The sequence below is a fragment of the Homo sapiens genome, chromosome 15 (assembly GCF_000001405.40).
Source record: "Homo sapiens chromosome 15, GRCh38.p14 Primary Assembly".
NCBI classification, from domain to species: Eukaryota; Metazoa; Chordata; class Mammalia; order Primates; family Hominidae; genus Homo; species Homo sapiens.
This window is the reverse complement of record NC_000015.10, coordinates 40,859,836-40,879,823: the sequence shown is the minus strand read 5'-3', so window position 1 is coordinate 40,879,823 and position 19,988 is coordinate 40,859,836. Positions and strand designations below refer to the sequence as shown.

The 19,988-nt window shown below is 50.4% G+C and overlaps 1 protein-coding gene and 1 long non-coding RNA gene across 2 annotated transcripts, besides 2 other annotated features; one reads left to right on the top strand and one right to left on the bottom strand.

Moving 5' to 3' along the window:
* Nucleotides 1-5,235: 5,235 nt before the first annotated feature.
* On the bottom strand, nucleotides 5,236-6,082 carry LOC124903475 (uncharacterized). Its single transcript, XR_007064600.1, has 2 exons — nucleotides 5,901-6,082; nucleotides 5,236-5,514 (listed from the first exon to the last, which is right to left on the bottom strand). It is a non-coding gene; the product is annotated as an uncharacterized LOC124903475 (long non-coding RNA).
* Nucleotides 5,536-6,055: a silencer, noted in NCBI's record as "silent region_6345". NCBI's record gives its function as "represses an Ori minimal core promoter by ATAC-STARR-seq in GM12878 lymphoblastoid cells {active_cell/tissue: GM12878}" and the evidence as "EXISTENCE:reporter gene assay evidence [ECO:0000049][PMID:35858748]".
* Nucleotides 5,590-7,610, top strand: RHOV (ras homolog family member V). The gene is made up of 3 exons (NM_133639.4): nucleotides 5,590-5,892; nucleotides 6,082-6,140; nucleotides 6,323-7,610. Exons 1-3 carry the CDS (start codon nucleotides 5,685-5,687, stop codon nucleotides 6,764-6,766), a joined length of 711 nt encoding a protein of 236 aa, NP_598378.3. The 5' UTR covers nucleotides 5,590-5,684; the 3' UTR covers nucleotides 6,767-7,610.
* Nucleotides 7,694-7,983: an enhancer, noted in NCBI's record as "active region_9268". NCBI's record gives its function as "activates an Ori minimal core promoter by ATAC-STARR-seq in GM12878 lymphoblastoid cells {active_cell/tissue: GM12878}" and the evidence as "EXISTENCE:reporter gene assay evidence [ECO:0000049][PMID:35858748]".

Sequence of the window (19,988 nt, the reverse complement as noted above, 5' to 3'; positions counted from 1 at the left end):
GGTCCCCTATACTCACTGATAAAATGGGAATAGACACACGCACGCACACACACACACACAGCCACACCTTCTCAGACACACCCCTCTCCTAAGCCATGTCACTTGGTTCTTATGAGACAGGGCAGACTGCAGCACTTTTACAAGTCTAAAGCCATATACAGCTGTGATGGACATTTTGGAGGCAAGATATTACTGCCGTGATTCAATGTCAGGGCTATGGTTGAGTTTTTTAGTTTTTGGTTTTTTTTAAGTAAACTATTTTTTTTTTGCCTTTTTTTGCGGTGGGGGGATAGGGGGTGCAGAATCTCACTCTGTCACACAGGCTGGAGTGCAGTGGCTCACTGCAGCCTCAACCTCACAGGCTCAGGTGATCCTCCCACCTCAGCCTCCTGAGTAGCTGGGACTTACAGGTGCATGCCACCATGCCCCATTAATTTTTTTTTTTTTTTTTGAGACTGGGTTTTGCCATGTTGTCCAGGCTGGTCTTGAAATCCTGGGTTCAAGCAATCCTCCTGCCTTGGCCTCTCAAAGTGCTGAGATTGAAGGAATGAGCCACCAGGCCCGGCATGTCTCACTTATTTATGTATTTAATTATTTATTTATATTGGTATAGACTTGTATATTTCCTGCCCCAGTCCTATAATCTGCTATTTCTCCATGGAGAATGTCAGAGCCAAGTTTTAATCCTAGCAAATGTGTGTCTAGCTGGAAGTTGGGGCAGAAGATCTGGCAGGCAGCAGGAATAAGACCCAGCCTACCCTTAGGAGGGGAGTTTCCCAGCAGTAGCAGCCAGAATTGCAAACTTCCCCAGCAAGTCCTTCTCTGAGAAACAGGTGACTCATCAGCACCTTAAGTTGTTTCCTCCCTCCCCCTCTTGCTGACAAAACTGCCCCTAAACCAGCTCAGACAGAGGGACCTAGGTTGGAAAGTGTCCCCACCTAAGCGGCCAGAAAATAATGACCTGTCTCAGGCCACATCAGGGCTTTTACCTGTGCCCAAGCAGACATCTCCCCCAATTTGTGTATTTACACCCCTCCTGCCTGCAGAAAGGATGAAACAGGATTACCCTCAAATTTACAGCTATAATTAAACTATTATTAAAATCCAGGTAAAAAAACAAGAGCACTGCAAAGAAGAGCGTGTGTGTGTGTGTGTGTGTGTGTGTGTGTGTGTGTGTGTGTGCGCGCGTGTGTAGTAATTCTGTCCCAGACACCTGGGCTGGGGCAGCTTCCCTGGGATCCCTGAATCACAGATTGCTAGCACCAGAAAGGCTTTCAGAGATAAACATGCTTCACCTGTCATTTTATAGGACTGAGACAGATGAAGTGATTTGGTAGGCATCACACAGCTAGTGAGCTGAAGAACTGGGAACACTGGGACAGGTCTCCTGATGTCCAGGTCTTTTAAAATGCCACTCCTGGCCGGGCGCGGTGGCTCACGCCTGTAATCCCAGCACTTTGGGAGGCCGAGGCGGGTGGATCATGAGGTCAGGAGATCGAGACCATCCTGGCTAACAAGGTGAATCCCCGTCTCTACTAAAAATACAAAAAAAAAATTAGCCGGGCGCGGTGGCGGGCGCCTGTAGTCCCAGCTACTCGGGAGGCTGAGGCAGGAGAATGGCGTGAACCCGGGAAGCGGAGCTTGCAGTGAGCCGAGATTGCGTCACTGCAGTCCGCAGTCCGGCCTGGGTGACAGAGCGAGACTCCGTCTCAAAAAAAAAAAAAAAAAAAAAATGCCACTCCTTTTCCAGGAGAGCAAATACAACAGCTTTTGGGCTTTCTAGAGGAATACAAAGGCAGGACAACAGGTAAGGCCTCTTTCACTTGCTAGATGAATAAACTTATGTGGATGTGTCTGAGAAGTTTTTGAGACTTGGGGCTACAATTAGGGATTATTAGCATCCCCAGACATTCAGAGGTATGGCATGTAGGATGAAGACATTGGCATGTAGAAGTGGTTACAGGGGCTCCTACGATTTCCCCATCCCCATAGTCGAGATTTTAATGATTAAGTCATCTTTCTAGCTGTAGTCCTCTCCTTTGGGCTCAAAAAGAGAAAACAAGAAATCTCAGCACTTTGGGAGGCCAAGGAAGGTGGATTGCTTAAGCTCAGGAGTTCAAGACCAGCCAGGCCAAAATGGTGAAACCCTGTCTCTACCAAAAATATAAAAATTAGCCAGGCATGGTGTCATGCACCTGTAGTCCCAGCTACTTGGGAGGCTGAGGCAGGAGAATCGCTTGAACCTGGGAGGTGAAGGTTGCAGTGAGCTGAGGTTGAATCTGTTGATCTGGGCCACAGAGCGAGACCCTGGCAAAAAAAAAAAAAAGAAAAAGAAAAGAAAAATCAGGGAACCTGTCACTTTTTCTAAGAGATGTAAAGATTTGGTTTGGATTTATGGCTTTTTTTTTTTAGACTGAGTCTCGCTCTATCACCCAGGCTGGAGTGCAGTGGCGCGATCTCGGCTCATTTGCAACCTCTGCCTCCCAGGTTCAAGCAATTCTTGTGCCTCAGCCTCCCAAGTAGCTGGGATTACAGGCGCCACCACCACGCCCGGCTAATTTTTGTATTTTTAGTAGAGACGGGGTTTCACCATGTTGGCCAGGCTGGTCTCGAACTCCTGACCTCAAGTGATCCACCCACCTCAGCCTCCCAAAGTGCTGGGATTACAGGTGTGAGCCACCGCACCTGGACGGATTTATGGCTTTTATACTACCAGCTCTTGGAGAAATAGAATTATCTCTTTTAATATTCACTGCCCCTCCCCCTCCCAACATTCTCCTTTCCCAAAACTCGTGAATGGCTGACTCCCTGAAGGTGACGGTGTTTTCTGTGATCTTTGCATAGGCTGAGATGAAAGGGTCAGAGATCAGAGAAAGGATTCTGGGCCTGGTGTCACTTGGTGTGGTTGCAATAAAGAGACAAAATTAGCATCAGGCTACTCTTCACTTGCTCTCCAGGTGACCTTCCCAGGGCTACCTGGGAGATATTGTCTCAGTCTGCAAACTCCTTCTAGGGCAAGGGCAGTGGGTGGCCCAGAACAGCATCTGCAGATAGGTAATTATTATGTGCTTTTGATGATGATGAGATAATATTAGGTATTTGGAGATTTATAAAATATTCAAATGGAAATTGTCCTTGAAGATCCTCCCCAGCTAGCTTCTCAGCACCCTGAGTTCCTTTAGCTGAGGGGAGTGAAAGTGTTCACAGCTTGCCTTCAGGCTGAGTCTAGAGAAAGCTCTCCTCTGAAAAGGAGTACAGTACATTCCTGCCTGCTGTATTCACACTTGTGTTTCTCTGCCTCTCTCATGATCTGTATACAGCTGAGCCTTGAACAACATGGGTGTGAACTGTACAGGTCCATTTTAGGCAGAATTTTTTCAATAAAAGTTACACTGAGGGCCGTGTGTGGTGGGTCATGCCTTTAATCCCAGCACTTTGGGAGGCTGAGGCCTGAGGATCACTTGAAGCCAGGAGTTGAAGACCAGCCTGGGCAAAAAAGCAAGACTGTCTCTACAAAAAAAAAAAATTAAAAAAATGTAGCCTGGCCTGGGGGTGCATGCCTGTAATCCCAGCTACTTGGAAGGCTGGGGCGGGATTGCTTGAGGCCAGGAGTTTGGACGCTGCAGTGAGCTATGCTCGCGTCATTGCACTCCAGACTGTGCAACAGATCAAGACCACATCTCTAAAAATAGATAAAAGTTATACCAAGTGTGCCTGCCTTTCCTGCCTCCCCTTCCACCTTCTCCACCTCTGCCACCCCTGACGCAGCAAGACCAACTCCTTTTCCTCCTTCTCCTCAGCCTACCCAACTGGAGACCACAAGGGTGCAGACCTTTACGATGATTCTAACTTTCTGATACAGGTCAGAAGAAAAAAGTTTGAAAATATGATAAGCCTCCTGGGCGTGGTGGCTCATACCTGTAATCCTAGCACTTTGGGAGGCCGAGGCAGATGGATCACCTGAGGTCAAGAGTTCAAGACCAGCCTGGCCAACATGGTGAAACCTCGTCTCCACTAAAAATACAAAAATTAGCTGGGATTACAGGTGTGAGCCACCTCGCCCGGCCTTTTTTATTTTTTTATTTTTATTTTTTTTTTGAGATGGCGTCTTGCTGCGTCTCCCAGATTGGAGTACAGTGGCGCAATCTCGGCCCACTCAAGCTCCGCCTCCTGGGTTCACGCCATTCTCCTGCCTCAGCCTCCCGAGTAGCTGGGACTACAGGCGCCCACCACCATGCCCGGCTAATTTTCTGTATTTTTAGTAGAGACGGGGTTTCACCGTGTTAGCCAGGATGGTCTGGATCTCCCGACCTCGTGATGTGATCTGCCCGCCTCAGCCTCCCAAAATGCTGGGATTACAGGTGTGAGCCACTGCGCCCAGCCTATTTTTTATTTATTTATTTATTTATTTTTGAGACAAAGTCTGGCTCTGTTGCCCAGGCTGGAGTGCAATGGCATGATCTCAGCTCACTGCAACCTCCACCTCCCAGGTTCAAGCCATCCTCCCACCTCAGCCTCCGAGTAGCTGGGATTACAGATGCACACCACCATGCTTGGCTACTTTTTTTGGGGGGTTTTTTGTTTTTGTTTTTTAAGAGAGAGTCTTGCTCTGTCACCCAGGCTGGAGTGGAGTGGCCCAATCTTGGCTCACTGCAACCTCCACCTGCCAGGTCCAAGTGATTCTCCTGCCTCAGCCTCCTGAGTAGCTAGGATTACTGGCACCCGCCACCACACCTGGCTAATTTTTTGTATTTTTAATAGAGACGGGGTTTCACCATGTTGGCCAGGCTGGTCTCGAACTCCTGACCTCAGGTGATCCACCCACCTCGGCCTCCCAAAGTGCTGGGATTACAGGCGTGAGCCACGGAGCCCAGCAACAGCAGGCTATTAATAGTTAAATTTTGGGGTAGTCAAAAGTTATATAGGGATTTTCGGCTGACTGCACAGGGTTTCTCGCCCATAATTCCCGCTTTGTTCAGGGGTCAACAGGTTTTTTGTTTGTTTGTTTGTTTTTAGGATCTGTCACACATGCTGAAGTGCAATGGCACTATTATAGCTCACTGTAACCTTGAACTCCTGGGGTCAAGTGATCCTCCTGGCTTAGCCTCCCAGAACGCTGGAATTACAGGCATGAGCCACTGCTCTCAGCCTCAATATTTAAAAAAGTAATTCTTTCATTAATAAAATTATCCCAACTTTTTAATACTCATGCAAACATATGCATAGAGTTGTTTCTTGTAAGTTGAACAAGGTTTAATTTGCACACTTGTTTAACCTGAACATACTGTATTATATGTTCTGCAACTTGCTTCTTCCTCCTAACAATAAATCATGGATGTCTATCTCTTCTTGGTATTCTCATTTGACGATTCTTTGTCCTTGTACCTGCGTGACTCTTGGAGCTCCAGCTTTCTGCCTGCCTTTCCTCCTCCCGGGGTTTTCCTCCTCCTCGCCTGGCCTCGCAGGGTGCCTGGCCGCGGGAGATCTTCGCCGATGGGTGGGGTCCGGGGCCGCCTGAAACATGTAGATGAGATGGGCGGGGCCCTACACAAACCCGCTGGTAGCGCTGGGCCGACTCGCCCAGCCTGGACCCATTCAGTCAGAGGCAGCCAGCGGGACCTGCTTCACCGAGCGCAGCGAAGCCGAGACCCGGGCTGGCCCCTCTGCTGCCCCCGGAGCGGGCCATGCCGCCGCGGGAGCTGAGCGAGGCCGAGCCGCCCCCGCTCCGGGCCCCGACCCCTCCCCCGCGGCGGCGTAGCGCGCCCCCAGAGCTGGGCATCAAGTGCGTGCTGGTGGGCGACGGCGCCGTGGGCAAGAGCAGCCTCATCGTCAGCTACACCTGCAATGGGTACCCCGCGCGCTACCGGCCCACTGCGCTGGACACCTTCTCTGGTACGTACGTTCAATCGCCCGTGCGGCCGCGTGGCTGCGGCGGGGCTGTGCACCGGGGAGCTGGGGCGGGCGTCTCGGCGGGAGGGCGCAGAGGACCCCGGGGAGGAGACTGGAGCAGGCCCCGAGGTGGCGCTGGTGCGGCCCAGGACGCTCTTCCTAACTCAGGCTCTCCCCGCCCCGCCCCTGCAGTGCAAGTCCTGGTGGATGGAGCTCCGGTGCGCATTGAGCTCTGGGACACAGCGGGACAGGTGAGAAGCTGGGCGCGGCCTCTACTGGTCTGCGGGGAGATGGGCTGGAGGCTGGGAGGACCCCATATGGAGCAAATGGAGAAAGCCTTGGGCTCTTGGAGTCTCAGGTTTCCAGCCCCGGGTGAGAAATGGATTCCATGTGTCGGGGGGCTAATCCTTACCACCTGGCCTTCCCACCCCAGGAGGATTTTGACCGACTTCGTTCCCTTTGCTACCCGGATACCGATGTCTTCCTGGCGTGCTTCAGCGTGGTGCAGCCCAGCTCCTTTCAAAACATCACAGAGAAATGGCTGCCCGAGATCCGCACGCACAACCCCCAGGCGCCTGTGCTGCTGGTGGGCACCCAGGCCGACCTGAGGGACGATGTCAACGTACTAATTCAGCTGGACCAGGGGGGCCGGGAGGGCCCCGTGCCCCAACCCCAGGCTCAGGGTCTGGCCGAGAAGATCCGAGCCTGCTGCTACCTTGAGTGCTCAGCCTTGACGCAGAAGAACTTGAAGGAAGTATTTGACTCGGCTATTCTCAGTGCCATTGAGCACAAAGCCCGGCTGGAGAAGAAACTGAATGCCAAAGGTGTGCGCACCCTCTCCCGCTGCCGCTGGAAGAAGTTCTTCTGCTTCGTTTGAGCAGCTATGGCTGCATAGCAAGTAGTAGGCAGGAGGCCAAAGACTTCTGAGACCTGGGGCACCCGGGCCTTTGCGGCAGCTACTGGCAGGGCCTGGCCACCTCATAGGACTCAGTTCCCTTCTGAACACTCGGGGGACATGGGCCTCTAACTGCCCACTCTGATATGCCTGGGTGAGCCTAGGAGGGAAGGCTCTGATTTGGATTTCTCCAGTCAAAGCTCACAGAAAAAAACCTGGCACTTTGATTTTCATGGGATGGTCCTAACAGGGTCAGTCACCTCCGAGCAGTTTGGGAACCCAGTTTCTTGTCCTGGGCCCTCAGGTCAGCCTGGCTGAATTAGGACCCTTCCTTGGCACAGGGGTGAGAAAGAGCTTGGGGAACGCTTGGCATTATGGAGGGCTGGAAGGGGCTCAACCCCGATTTGGAGAGAAGTTTGGGATGGAGTGGGCGAGAGATTGAGAGAGCGAGCAGGAAAAGAGGTCTTGGAGCCTGGGACTGATGGTGGATAAGGCCTGGAAAGAAGATGACGAGGAGGAGGAGAGAGGGAAGTGGGGTGGATGAGGAGCAGGCTGACACCTGGGCTGCCCTCAATCCCCAAGGCCAGGGAGGGCGGGGCTGGCCCCTGGGAAGAACTGGGTCTCTGGGCTCCCTAGGCACTGCCCAAACTGGCTGAGCCAGGAGTGGGGCAGGAAGTGAGAGTCAAGGCCCAGCAAAAGGAGGGGGAGGAGCTGCAAATTAGAACCTGAAGGAGGACCGGGTTGGGGATCATCCCTTTCCTCAAGGTCACACAGCCTAGAAGCTAGAGCAGTGCAGAGTCTGCAAATAAAACCTTAAGTCTGTGAAGGCGTGCGTTGTCTCTGTCATTTCCTGGAGCCCACTCCTCCCTCAGAACCCTCCTCAAGGCCTAACTGCCTGGCTAGAGACAGATTGGGGACCAAAGGACTGAGGCTAGATTGAAAGGTGGGGGCTGGACTGGGGGTGGGGGCAGTGTAATGGGAACTGGACTGTGGGGGTAGGTGTGGAGCTCCCCGCTTGGGGCTCAGCTGGTTCCCAGGAGAGCTAGCGTGGGAAGCGGCCTGGAAACGGGTTTCCCCAGGTGTCAGCGCCAGAGCTGGTTTCCCATGACCTCACCTGGTGGGTGGAGCCCCTCCCCTCCACCCCTCCTTTCTAGAGCACCATGCTCAGCACTGGAGCTCAAGGTCAGTCCCCAGCCTTCTAACTTTTCTGCTCTGTTCCTTCTGGCAGTTCACAGGGCCCTGGGGCTCAGGTTAGGGGACCATCCCCCCCTCCGACCTCTATTCACAGCCTGAACATAAAGGGAACCCATACAGCCTAAACCTCAATCACTGGCCAAAGTTCTTAGACTTGGGTTGGACCCAGTCTTCAGCCTTGGCACCTAAGGAGCTAGTGAAGGTCAGGGTGCTGCTTGTGAACAATTTAAATAGAGGTTTATCCCCAAGTATCCTGTGCAAGAGCGAGTTCATTGGGAGAGGACTTGGAGAGGAGCAGGGATCTGGAGAACATTCCCTCATGTTGGAGCTTGAAGGGACTTTGAAGGACACCCAGGGAGAAAATGAAACAAAACAAAACTTACTTTACCATAAGGAGACTGAGGACCAGACAGAAAAGGTAATAGCTTAAATGATATGTATCACCCAGTGACTGTAAGAGCACTTTGCAAACTCTAGAGTTGGATACAGGGGTATGTGTTACTCTGGGAGAGGAATTTCTTTCTTTCTTTTTCTTTTGAGGTAGAGTCTCGCTCTTTCACCCAGGCTGGAGTGCAGTGGCGTGATCTTGGCTCAGTGCAACCTCTGCCTCTTGGGTTCAAGCGAGTCTCCTCCTTCAGCCTCCTGAGTAGCTGGGATTACAGGTGTGCGCCACCATGCCTGGCTCATTTTTGTATTTTTAGTAGAGATGGGGTTTCACCATGTTGGTCAGGCTGGTCTCGAACTCCTGACCTTGTGATCTGCCTGCCTCAGCCTCCCAAAGTTCTGGGATTACAGGTGTGAGCCACTGGGCTCAGCTGGGAGAGGAATTTCTGAGGCACACCTGGCACACCTGCTAGGCAGCTGCTGGGTCAGATGAGCACTCATGCCCTGGCCCAGCCCACCTCTGAGCCCATCTCCCTCTGCAGGAAGCTACAGCTGTGTGTGTGTGTCTGTGTGTGTGTGTGTGTGTATGTCTGTCTGTCTGTCTGTCTCTGTCTGTGTCTGTGTGTGTGAAAGAGCATGGCTGAGGGACAGAAATCCCAGCCAAGTGAAACTTCAGATAATCCCCAAGTTTAGTTTTAGCCAAGACTGTCCACTTCCTGCCCCACCAGGGCCTGTCCCCAGAGCTCCAGCCAACTGGAGCTCCTTCTGTTCCCTTTACCCTTCAGGTGGAGGTGCTGAGGGTCTCACACCCCAGCAGCATGGCCTGTTGTTACCTCAACCCAGCCTGACACACTCCCCTCTGGGGCAGAAACCTGGGTTCAAGTTCAGACTCTGACACCAACCATGACCTTAGGCAAATAATTTCCCTTCTCTATGCCTCAGTCTTCATTTGAAAAATGAAGGACTCAGGACTCAGACTGGGTTTGAGGTTCTTAAACTTGTTCTGAGGGGCCTTGGACGTGCCTTGGGGTGGGGATCATCCCCCACAAGGGGGTTATCCTTGTACCCGCCCCCACCTCCAACTTCTTCCCTAATTCTCTCTTGTGGTACTAGTATATCCATGTCACCCAAATTGAAACCTCGGTCACCATGCCTCCTCTCTTGCTGGGTCTCCAAGTCTGGTCAGGACCTCTGTCACCCACACCCCAAGGTCCCTGCCACTGCAGCTCCCCACTCCAATCTGTCCCGTGCTGCTGTGTTCACTCTGGCATCCCCCAACTCAAGGCTCAAGACTGTTACTGGCTCTCACTGTTGATGATGAACTTCCAGCTCCTCATTTCAGCATTCAAGGCCCTCTCAAATCTGACAGCACCCTGGACCAGGCCAGCTCGCTCTGGTGATCCCCAGCTATTTCCGACTTCCTGACTCCCAGTCTTGGCTTGTGCCAGATCCCCTAGTTTGGAAAGAGCTCCCTGTCACCTCCCAGATGCCCCATTTCTCCTCATGATAACCAGCTTTCAATACCTCCCTCCTCCAGAACAGATGCTTACCTGTATCAGTGTCTTCACTGCTCCCTTGGCACACTGAGGACACTGGGCGTTCTGCGACTGACTCAGCCTGCATCTTCCCAGCTAAATGAAGAGAGAGAGAGAGCCACGTTTAAGTTCCTTTTGCTCCCACAAGGTCTGGGGCTCAGGCAATGTTTGCTGCTGACCCTGAAATGCTTAGGAATAAAAAGCCAGCCAGTGAGCCCTGGAGAGGCTGGGAGGATTAAGTTTAGCTCCAGATTTGGAGCTTGAAGACTGAGGCCTAATGTCAACAGCTTGCTGGAAAGGACCTCTAAGGCTCTGGCCCCAAGCCTGTGCAGGACAAGAGGGATTCGCTTCTGCTTCCGAATCCACTGGTTCTCTTTGGTTCTGTCTCTTTCTCTAGAATATGGTACCTACTTTTCTGGGGTAGTTTTTTTGTTTTTATCTCTCTGTCTGTTTCCTTGGCCTCTTTTCCCTTTTCTCTGCTCTTTTAAATTATATTTAAAGGAATATTTATTATATGAATTGGATAAAATTATATGTTTCTTACATATACATTCTTACATATGTCCTTATCAATATAAATTGCTTTTAATGTCTGTGTAACCCTTAGTTGATTTTTTTCAATTTTTTCTTTCTTTCTGTTTTTTTTTTTTTTTTTTTTTGAGACGGAGTCTCGCTCTGTGGCCCAGGCTGGAGTGCAGTGGCGCCATCTCGGCTCACTGCAAGCTCCACCTCCCGGGTTCACGCCATTCTCCTGCCTCAGCCTCCCGAGTAGCTGGGACTACAGGTGCCCACCACCACGCCTGGCTAATTTTTTGTATTTTTAGTAGAGACGGGGTTTCACCATGTTAGCCAGGATGGTCTTGATCTCCCGATCTCGTGATCTGCCCACCTCAGCCTCCCTAAGTGCTGGGATTACAGGCATGAGCCACTGCACCCAGCTCTCTTTTTTTTTTGGAGATGGAGTCTCACTCTGTCACCCAGGCTGGAGTACAGTGGCACAATCTTGGCTCACTGCAGCCTCCGCCTCCTGGGTTCAAGCAATTCTCCTGCCTCAGCCTCCCAAGTACCTTGGATTACAGGCATCCACCACCACATCCAGCTAATTTTTTTTTTTTTTTTTTGAGACAGAGTCTCACTCTGTCGCCCAGGCTGGAGTACAGTGGCATGATCTCGGCTCACTGCAACCTCCGCCTCCCAGGTTCAAGTGAGTCTCCTACCTCAGCCTCCCAAGTAGCTGGGATTACAGGCGTGCACCACCAGGCCCAGCTCATTTTTGTATTTTTAGTAGAGACAGAGTTTCACCACGTTGGCCAGGCTGATCTCGAACTCCTGACCTCAAGTGATCCACCCACTTCACCTTCCCAAAGTGCTGGGATTACAGGTGTGAGCAATGGCACCCAGCCGTTTTCCATTTTTTTGAGGCAGGGTCTTGCACTGTCATCCAGGCTAGAGTGCAGTGGTGTGATCATGGCTCACTGCAGCCTTGAACTCCTAGGCTCAAGCAATGCTTCTGTCTCAGTCTCCCAAGTAGCTAGAACTATAGATGTGCACTACCATTAGGTACACACCTAATTCAACAATTTTTTTTTTGTAGGGATGGGGTGTAGTTATGTTGTTCAGATTAGTCTCTAATTCCTGAGCTCAGGTGATCCTTCTGCTTTGGCCTCCCAAATTGCTGGGATTACAGGTGTGAGCCACCTCACCTGGCTAGATTTTTTAAAAATAATGTCTTTTTTTCCATAATAAATACTTATAAAAATTAGAAAATCCAAAGATTTAGAAGATTAAAAAATCTTAAAAAGTATTCTAGGCCGGGTGCAGTGGCTTATGCCTGTAATCCCAGCACTTTGGGAGGCCGAGGCAGGCAGATCACGAGGTCAGGAGATCGAGACCAGCCTGGCCAACATGGTGAAACCTCGTCTTTACTGAAAATACAAAAATTAGCTGGGCATGGTGGCGTGTGCCTGTTATCCCAGCTACTTGGGAGGCTGAGGCAGGAGAATCGCTTGAACCCAGGAGGCGGAGGTTGCAGTGAGCCGAGGTCACGCCACTGCACTCCAGCCTGGCTACAGAGCAAGACTGCCTCAAAGAAAAAAAAAAGGTATTCTAAAGTCTTAACTCCCAAAGACAATCAATAATAATATTTGGGTGTAATTCCTTCCAATCTTTTCTTCTAAGCATCTTTTTTTTTTTTTTTTGAGACAGTCTTGCTCTGTCACCCAGGCTGGTGTGCAATGGCGCGATCTCAGCTCACCGCAACCTCTGCCTCCCTGGTTCACGTGATTCTCCTGCCTCAGCCTCTTGAGTACCTGGGACTACAGGCATGCGGCACCATGTCCAGCTAATTTTTGTATTTTTAGTAGAGATGGGGATTCACCATGTTGGGCAGACTGGTCTCGAACTCCTGACCTCAGATGATCCACCCGTCTCGGCCTCCCAAAGTGCTGGGATTACAGGTGTAGGCCATCGCTCCTGGCCCTATGCATATTTCTTTACACACTTTTTGTGATTATGCTGTGTAGACAATTTTCTTTAATTTAAAAACTTAACTGTCTTTTCATGTTATAAACTGTGACCATGAGGCTGTAACTGTATGTGTATGTTTCCTTACTGTTCCACTCTGACCTGAATACCTTTAAGTAGATCCCCATCTGGGGGCATGTAGGTTATTTACCTTTAAGCTTTTTTTTCTCTATTATAAATGACACTACATCTACAACTGATTGTTTTATCCACCATGGCTCATTGACTATCTACAGAAAAACAGTTCTTCATCTTTGGCTTGGAGACTGGGTCTCCATATAATCCTGAGTGGAACTGATGAGGATGTTTGGGTTTCTATGTCTATGACTCTGTGTGGGGGTCTCTTTCTGTTGGAATATGAGTAGCAGATTGTGGGGTGTTCAATAAATACCAAATGCTGACAAGGTATGTATATATTTGTGTTCATGTACCTTTCCCTGTGTCCCTGGTTTTGCTCTTGTATATTTAAAGTGGGTGTTGTCTTTGTGGAAAAACTCTAAATACAGAAATTCCATATATGTGCAAGTCTGTGTATCTACATCTATAAATACAGTGTGTACCTTTGCGCAAGATGTGTATATGCCTGTGTATCCATGTCACACGTGTCATTAGAAATGTGTATTATAAGGCCAAGCATGGTGGCTCACGCCTGTAATCCCAGCACTTCGGGAGGCTAAGGTGGGTGGATCACCTGAGGTCAGGAGTTTGAGACCAGCCTGACCAATATAGTGAAACCCCGTCTCTACTAAAAATACAAAAATTAGCTGAGCATGGTGGCGCATGCCTGTAATCCCAGCTACTTGGGAGGCTGAGGCAGGAGAATCACTTGAACCCAGGAGGCGGAGGTTGCAGTGAGCCAAGATTTCGCCACTGCACTTCAGCCTAGGCGATAGAGCAAGACTCCATCTCAAAAAAAAAAAAGTGTGTATTATACAGAACCTTATATGTGTATCTATGCCTGTGTGTATACAGCTAGGCTGGACCTCATTTCTTGGGGCAGTGTGTCTGCATCTGTATGTACCTATGCTCATCTCTGTGTGGATCTGTGTGTGCATGTTTGTGCTGGGTGTGCACGCTGGGACTGGGCTGGTGTGTGAGTGTGTGCACACCTGAAGGAGCTGTGGCCTTGCTTTCTCCCTGGGAGCAGAGTCGTGCCCAGGGCAGAGGTGACGCACCTTCCCTGAGCTCCCCATTCTCCTGGGAACGAGCTACAGAGAGACCGAGAGCAGACTGCGTCAGGAGCACCAGCCCCTTCTGTAACCAGCCCAGGCCTCAGGCAGTAACTGCGGTTCTCACAGGTCAGACCTGCCCACTGTGTTTCAGCTGCCAGGAAACCCTGTTCCCAGCACCCTCCTTGGGCCTGGGCCAGATCCCCAGTGAGCAGAATTCAGCAGAGGGGCCACATTAGTCACCCTGTGGCAAGAGCAGGGAGTAACTTCCTGGACCTGGGCACTACTGCCTCTGCATGCAGTAATGCGGAGGCTGCCTCCCATCCTCCGCTCTAATACATCCTTACAACTGAACTCCAAGATGGCCCAGACAGCGGCTTTTTTTTTTCTTTTTCTTTTTTTTTTTGCGGGGGGGACGAAGTCTCGCTCTGTTGCCCAGGCTGGAGTGCAATGGTGTGATCTCGGCTCACTGCAACCTCTGTCCCCCGGGTTCAAGCAATTCTCCTGCCTCATCTTCCTGAGTAGCTGGGATTACAGGCATGTGCCACCACGCCTGGCTAATTTTTGTATTTTTAGTAGAGATGGGGTTTTGCCATGTTGGCCAGGCTGGTCTCGAACTCTTGACCTCAGGTGATCCATCCACCTCGGCCTCCCAAAATGCAGGGATTACAGATGTGAGCCACTGTTCCCGGACCTTTTGTTTTGAGACAGGGTCTCACTCTGACGTACAGGCTGGAGTGCAGTGGTATGATTATAGCTCACTGCAGCCTTGACTTCCTGAGCTCAGAGGATTCTCTCACCTCATCCTCCCGAGTAGCTGGGACTACAGGTGTGCGCCACCATGCCCAGTTGATTTTTGTAGTTTTTGTAGAGATGGGGTTTCACTATGTTGTCTGGGCTGGTCTCGAACTCCTGAGCTCAAGTGATCTGCCCGCCTGAGCCTCCCAAAGTGTTGGGATTATAAGTGTGAGCCACCATGCCCGGCCCACATGGCTTTTATTAGCACCAGTTTTCAGATGAGGGGATAGACCAAGCATGATGACCAAGGTTAAGGCAGAGCTGGGCCTTGGTCCCAGGTTTCCGGACACTGGGTCTATGCCTCTTCCCGGCGTTCCATATGGGGGTTCTGCTCCCCAGAAATGGTTCCCTTAGAGGGCAACAGTGGGAGGCATGATTTCTGGGATTCACTAGGTTGTCCTAGGCTGGGGAGTGAGGGAGCAGGAGGCAGGACAGGTGTCAGCACTGAACAGGCCTGCCCTCTTACTGGAATGTTCTCAAGACTTGCTCCATGAGCAGAGGCTTAAAGTGTTGGTCCCATAACTGGGATGACCATGGAATTCACTGTCATACTCAATGATTTTGTGACTGAACAGGAGCTCTATTAATAACGTGGGTTATGGTCACCCTACCTGTAACCCCTCTGGAAGCGAGACTCAGTCATTGTCACCAGCTCCATGGTCTCCTTGACCCTCACCTGTGCCAGTGTCCCTCTCCTCACCTGGTATCCTGACAACTTCCTGACTTCTTAGCAGTGAGGGGCAGCAGGGGCGTCTTTGGGTCCCGGGTGGGCATAAGGGTTCCTTGGGGTAACTTGGAGCTGGCAGAAAAGCAGCACAGACCCCACCCAGGGACACCTGGGACACCTGCCACATGATCACTCCCTCCCTCAGACCTGTATTCTCTGTGGCTGTGTTCCACTGCTTCTGCCTGTCTTCCCTCAGAGCCCCACACCAGCAAGCAGAGCCTGTCCCTATAGGTCTCTCTCCAGGGGTGGTGAGATCCCTCTCCTTATGCAACAGTGGACCCTCGATTCCTGGGACTGTGTACATTTCTTTACCTCCGCTCCCCTCGCCTCCCCCGGCAAGCAGGCCATGAGCTCTGGTGACCACCCTCTCACCCACAGGGCCTTGGAGACTCAGCCTCCTGTTCCAGCCGCATCCCGACTCGCTGGGTGGCTTTGGCAAATTACCACCTTCATCCTCTTTAGAGTTTCTCCTGGTTGTGAAGTGGGGCTGATACTCTCTGCCCCTCCCTGGCTCCCAGCAGACCTGCAGGGATAAGCAAGATAATAGCCAGGAACTAATGTGGAGGGAGCTCTCAAGGGCCAAGTAAGAGGTATCAGTGCTGGCCCGTGTTTACATGGGTGTGGACCTTTGGTTCCCAGCCTCCTGGGGCTCGGGACCAGCCCTGACAGCTTCTTGGCTTGTGGCTCCTTTGTCCCACTTCCAGAAAAAAGACAGAAACCGAACCTAAGAGCCTGGTGTCTGGAGCAGATGAGATTTGCCTAGCCACAGGGTTTGAGGCTCTGGAACTTTGACCTCCTGGCCTGGCTATGTCCCCAGCCACTGGCTGTGTGACCTTGGGCCAGTCACTGCCCCTCTCTGGGCCTCAACCCCTCAGCTCTGACAGCCTCCATCAGCCCTATACTCAGGGGGCACTCCTAGAGGCTGTAATTGGAGGCCATCGTTTGGAGACAGAAAGGATCTTGTTATCTAGTCCAGCTCCTTCATTCTTCATAGACTAAGTAAAGAAAAAAAGGGGCCCATGGTTAAACCACAGATTAACTCCATGGTCAGCCTGGTTAACCCAAGGTCATAAACTAGTTGCAAAGGGGATCATGTGGACTGTGTGCGGTGGCTCACGCCTGTAATCCCAGCACTTTGGAGGGCCGAGGCTGGCGGATCACGAGGTCAGGAGATCGAGACTGTCCTGGCTGACACGGTGAAACCCCATCTCTACTAAAAAAATAAAATAAATAAAAAATAGCCAGGCGTGGTGGCGGGCGCCTGTAGTGCCAGCTACTCGGGAGGCTGAGGCAGGAGAATGGCGTGAACCTTGCAGGTGGGGCTTGCAGTGAGCCGAGTTCTCACCACTGCACTCCAGCGTGGGCAACAGAGCAAGACTCCATCTCAAAAAAATAAATAAATAAACTTCTTTCTACTTTATACCCATGTTATTTCGTAATTTATAGACTCCTTTAAGCTGTCTTTAGTTCTTCCCCCATAAGGCAAGACATAAGCAAACAAAGGCTAAATAACCGATGACAAAATCAATAAAACCAGTCTCCATCTGGTGCTGGGTGGCCCCTCACCTTCTGCCTGGTTCCCCTGAAACTGCCCCTCCTCTGCTCATCCCTGTTTCTGTTGGTGGCATTGCCACCACAGTCTGGAGTGGCTCCCTTCCCCCGGTCTCCAGAAGCTCTGTCTTCTTCTCCCTCCCTGTTGTCTCTCCCACATCTCAGAGCTTCATGTTTTGGTGATTTCTTTCTTTCTTTCTTAAATATATCTGAGGCCAGGGGCAGTTGCTCAAGTCTGTAATCCCAGCACTTTGGGAGGCCGAGGTAGTTGGATCACCCGAGGTCAGGAGTTGGAGACCAGCCTGGCCAACATGGCAAAACCCCGTCTCTACTAAAAGTACAAAAATTAGCCGGGCATGGTGGTGAGCGCCTGTAATCCCAGCTACTTGGGAGGCTGAGGCAGAGAAATGCTTGAACCCAGGAGGCGGAGGTTGCAGTGAGCCGACATCACGCCACTGCACTCCAGCCTGGGCGACAGAGCAAGACTTGTCTCCAAAAAAAAAAAAAAAAAAAATTTAGAAAATGCAAGTTGACAAAAAACACAAAAACTGTTTTTGTATCAATCTGTAATTGTATCAGTGAGAGACAACACTATGGTCATTTGGGTTAACACCCTTTTTTAGTTTTTTTTTTTTTTTTCCTAAACATGTAGCCTTGAAAAAACCACCACAACAAAAAACTCCACTACAAGCGGTGTCTTTATTTCTTCCCCAGTCTGTTTTCTTAGTCTCCCTGGTTCTGGGCTCCTCTGATACAAACTCTGGGAGCCACTGCAGGTGGGGAAGGAGAGGCAAGCCCTCAGAGAGCCTGTGGGAAGGCTTAGGAAACCCCCGGGCTTCCGGGTTTAGGACTTCCAGGTGGAGCTATTAACAAGAATCTCTCCCCGGGGGAGCTTAAAGGTACCTTCCCAGGCTTTAGTCCTGCTGTGGTTGGGTGGGGAAGGGAGTGGTCTTGTGCAATAGGGCAAACCACTCCTCATTCAGGGCTGTTTATTTTAGTGGGCAGGGATGGGTTTGGGAGAAACCACCCAGTTTTTGTGAGTGTTTACCTGAACTGTTGGGACCAATAAATTTTGGAGACAACTACCCAATATAGGGAAGGCAAGATGCGTTGTAAGGGACAAGATGCTGGGGGTTCTAGGCCGGGCGTGGTGGCTCACGCCTATAATCCTAGCACTTTGGGAGGCCGAGGAGGGCGGATGACCTGAGATCAGGAGTTCGAGACCAGCCTGACCAACATTGATAAACCCCATCTCTACTAAAAAATACAAAAATTATCTGGGCGTAGTGGCACATGCCTGTAATTCCAGCTACTCTGGAGGCTGAGGCTGAGGCAGGAGAATTGCTAGAACCCGATAGGCCGAGGTTGCAGTGAACCTAGATTGTGCCATTGCACTCCAGCCTGAGCAACAAAAGCGAAACTCTGTCTCAGAAAAAAAAAAAAAAGATGCTGGGGGTTCCAGAGGCGAATGCCTAGAAGTCCCAGGCAAGCACCTAATGCTGGGTGGGGTGGGGGAGGACTGTGAATGGGTTAATGCCTGCCCAGCTAAAGAGGACCCTGAACTCTGTGCCTGGATTGCTAGGTCCCCAGAGTTCTCACAAGAAGCTAGCAATATGGATTTTTTTTTTCAATGAAGACTTCTGACTCCTTAAATGTTGGCAACTAAATTAAAGAAACTAAACGATTGTTTGAGTCAAAGCATGATTGTAGGCTGCCAGTGTGCAACCTTTGACTAGCCTTCACCAGAGATCTGCTATGTGCTTCACACAGGTTCCCTCGCCTAATTTACTTGGTGTTGCTTCCTCCCTCTGTCCCTCTCCCTGTGCTGTGACCTCTGGTGATGTAGCCTGCTTATCTGCCCACTCCTTTTTTTTTTTTTTTTTTTTTTGAGATGGAGTCTTGCTCTGTTGCCCAGGTTGGAGTTCAGTGGCATGATCTCAGCTCACTGCAAACTCTGCCTCCCGGGTTCAAGCAATTCTCTTGCCTCAGCCTCCCGAGTAGCTGGGATTACAGGCATGTGCCACCATGCTCAGCTAATTTTGTACTTTTAGTAGAGACGGGGTTTCTCCATGTTGGTCAGGCTTGTCTCGAACTCCCAACCTCTGGTAATCCACCCACCTTGGCCTCCCAAAGTGCTGGGATTACAGGCATGAGCCACCGCGCCCGGCCCACTCTTTAAAGTTCAGATCACTCCTTTCCCCTGCTTAAATCCCCTCCACCCACCAAACTCCCAGCTTCCACCTCCCTGCTTCCAAACTGAGCAGCTTGTGATTCCCAAACAAAACCCAGGATCTCCACTGCCCAGCTTTTGCTCAGTGTGATTTTGTTATGCATGGAACACCCACACCCATCTGCTCATCTTATTTTTTTCCAATCTTTTTTTATTGTGATAAAATACATATAATGTAAAATTTACTATCTTAACCATTTTAAAGTATATGGTTTAGTGGCACTAAGTACATTCACATTGTTGTGCAACCATCACCACCATCCATCTCCTGAGCCTTTTCCTTTTACAAAACTGGAACTCTGTACCCATTAAGCAATAATTCTCTATTTTCCTTTTCCCAGCAACCATCATTCTACTGTCTCTTTGATTTTGACTACTCTAAGCATTTCAGATGAGTAGAATCATACTTGTCTTTTTGTGACTGGCTGATTTCACTTAGCATAATATAGATGTCCTGAAGGTTCATCTGTGTTGTAGCATATGTTAGAACATCCTTTTTAAGGCTGAATATTATTCCACCGTGTATATTGTGTGTACTCCATTTTGCTTATCCATTCATCTGTTGATAGGCACTCAGGTTGATTCCATGTTTTAGCTATTGTGAATAATGCTATGTACATACGTGTGCAAGAATCTCTTGGAGACCCCTACTCACCTAGTTTTTTTTTTAATTTAATTTTATTTTTTTAAGATGGAGTCTCACTCTGTCACCCAGGCTGGAGTGCAGTGGTGCCATCTTGGTTCACTACAACCTCCACTTCCCGGGTTCAAGTGATTCTCCTGCCTCAACCTCCCAAGTAGCTGGGATTATAGGTGTGTGCCACCACACCCGGCTAATTTTTGTATTTTTAGTAGAGACGGGGTTTCACCATGTTGGCCAGGCTGGTCTCGAACTCCTGACCTCAAGTGATCCACCCACCTCGGCCTCCCAAACTGCTGGAATTACAGGTGTGAGCCACCGTGCAGGGCCACTCACCTGATGTTAGACTTTCTCCACGAAGTCACTTATTAACCTTAATCTCCTCCACTTGACCGGCCTCTGTTTTGTTCCAGCAGCCATTTTTCAGATACCTGGTACGCACAAGCAGGGCCC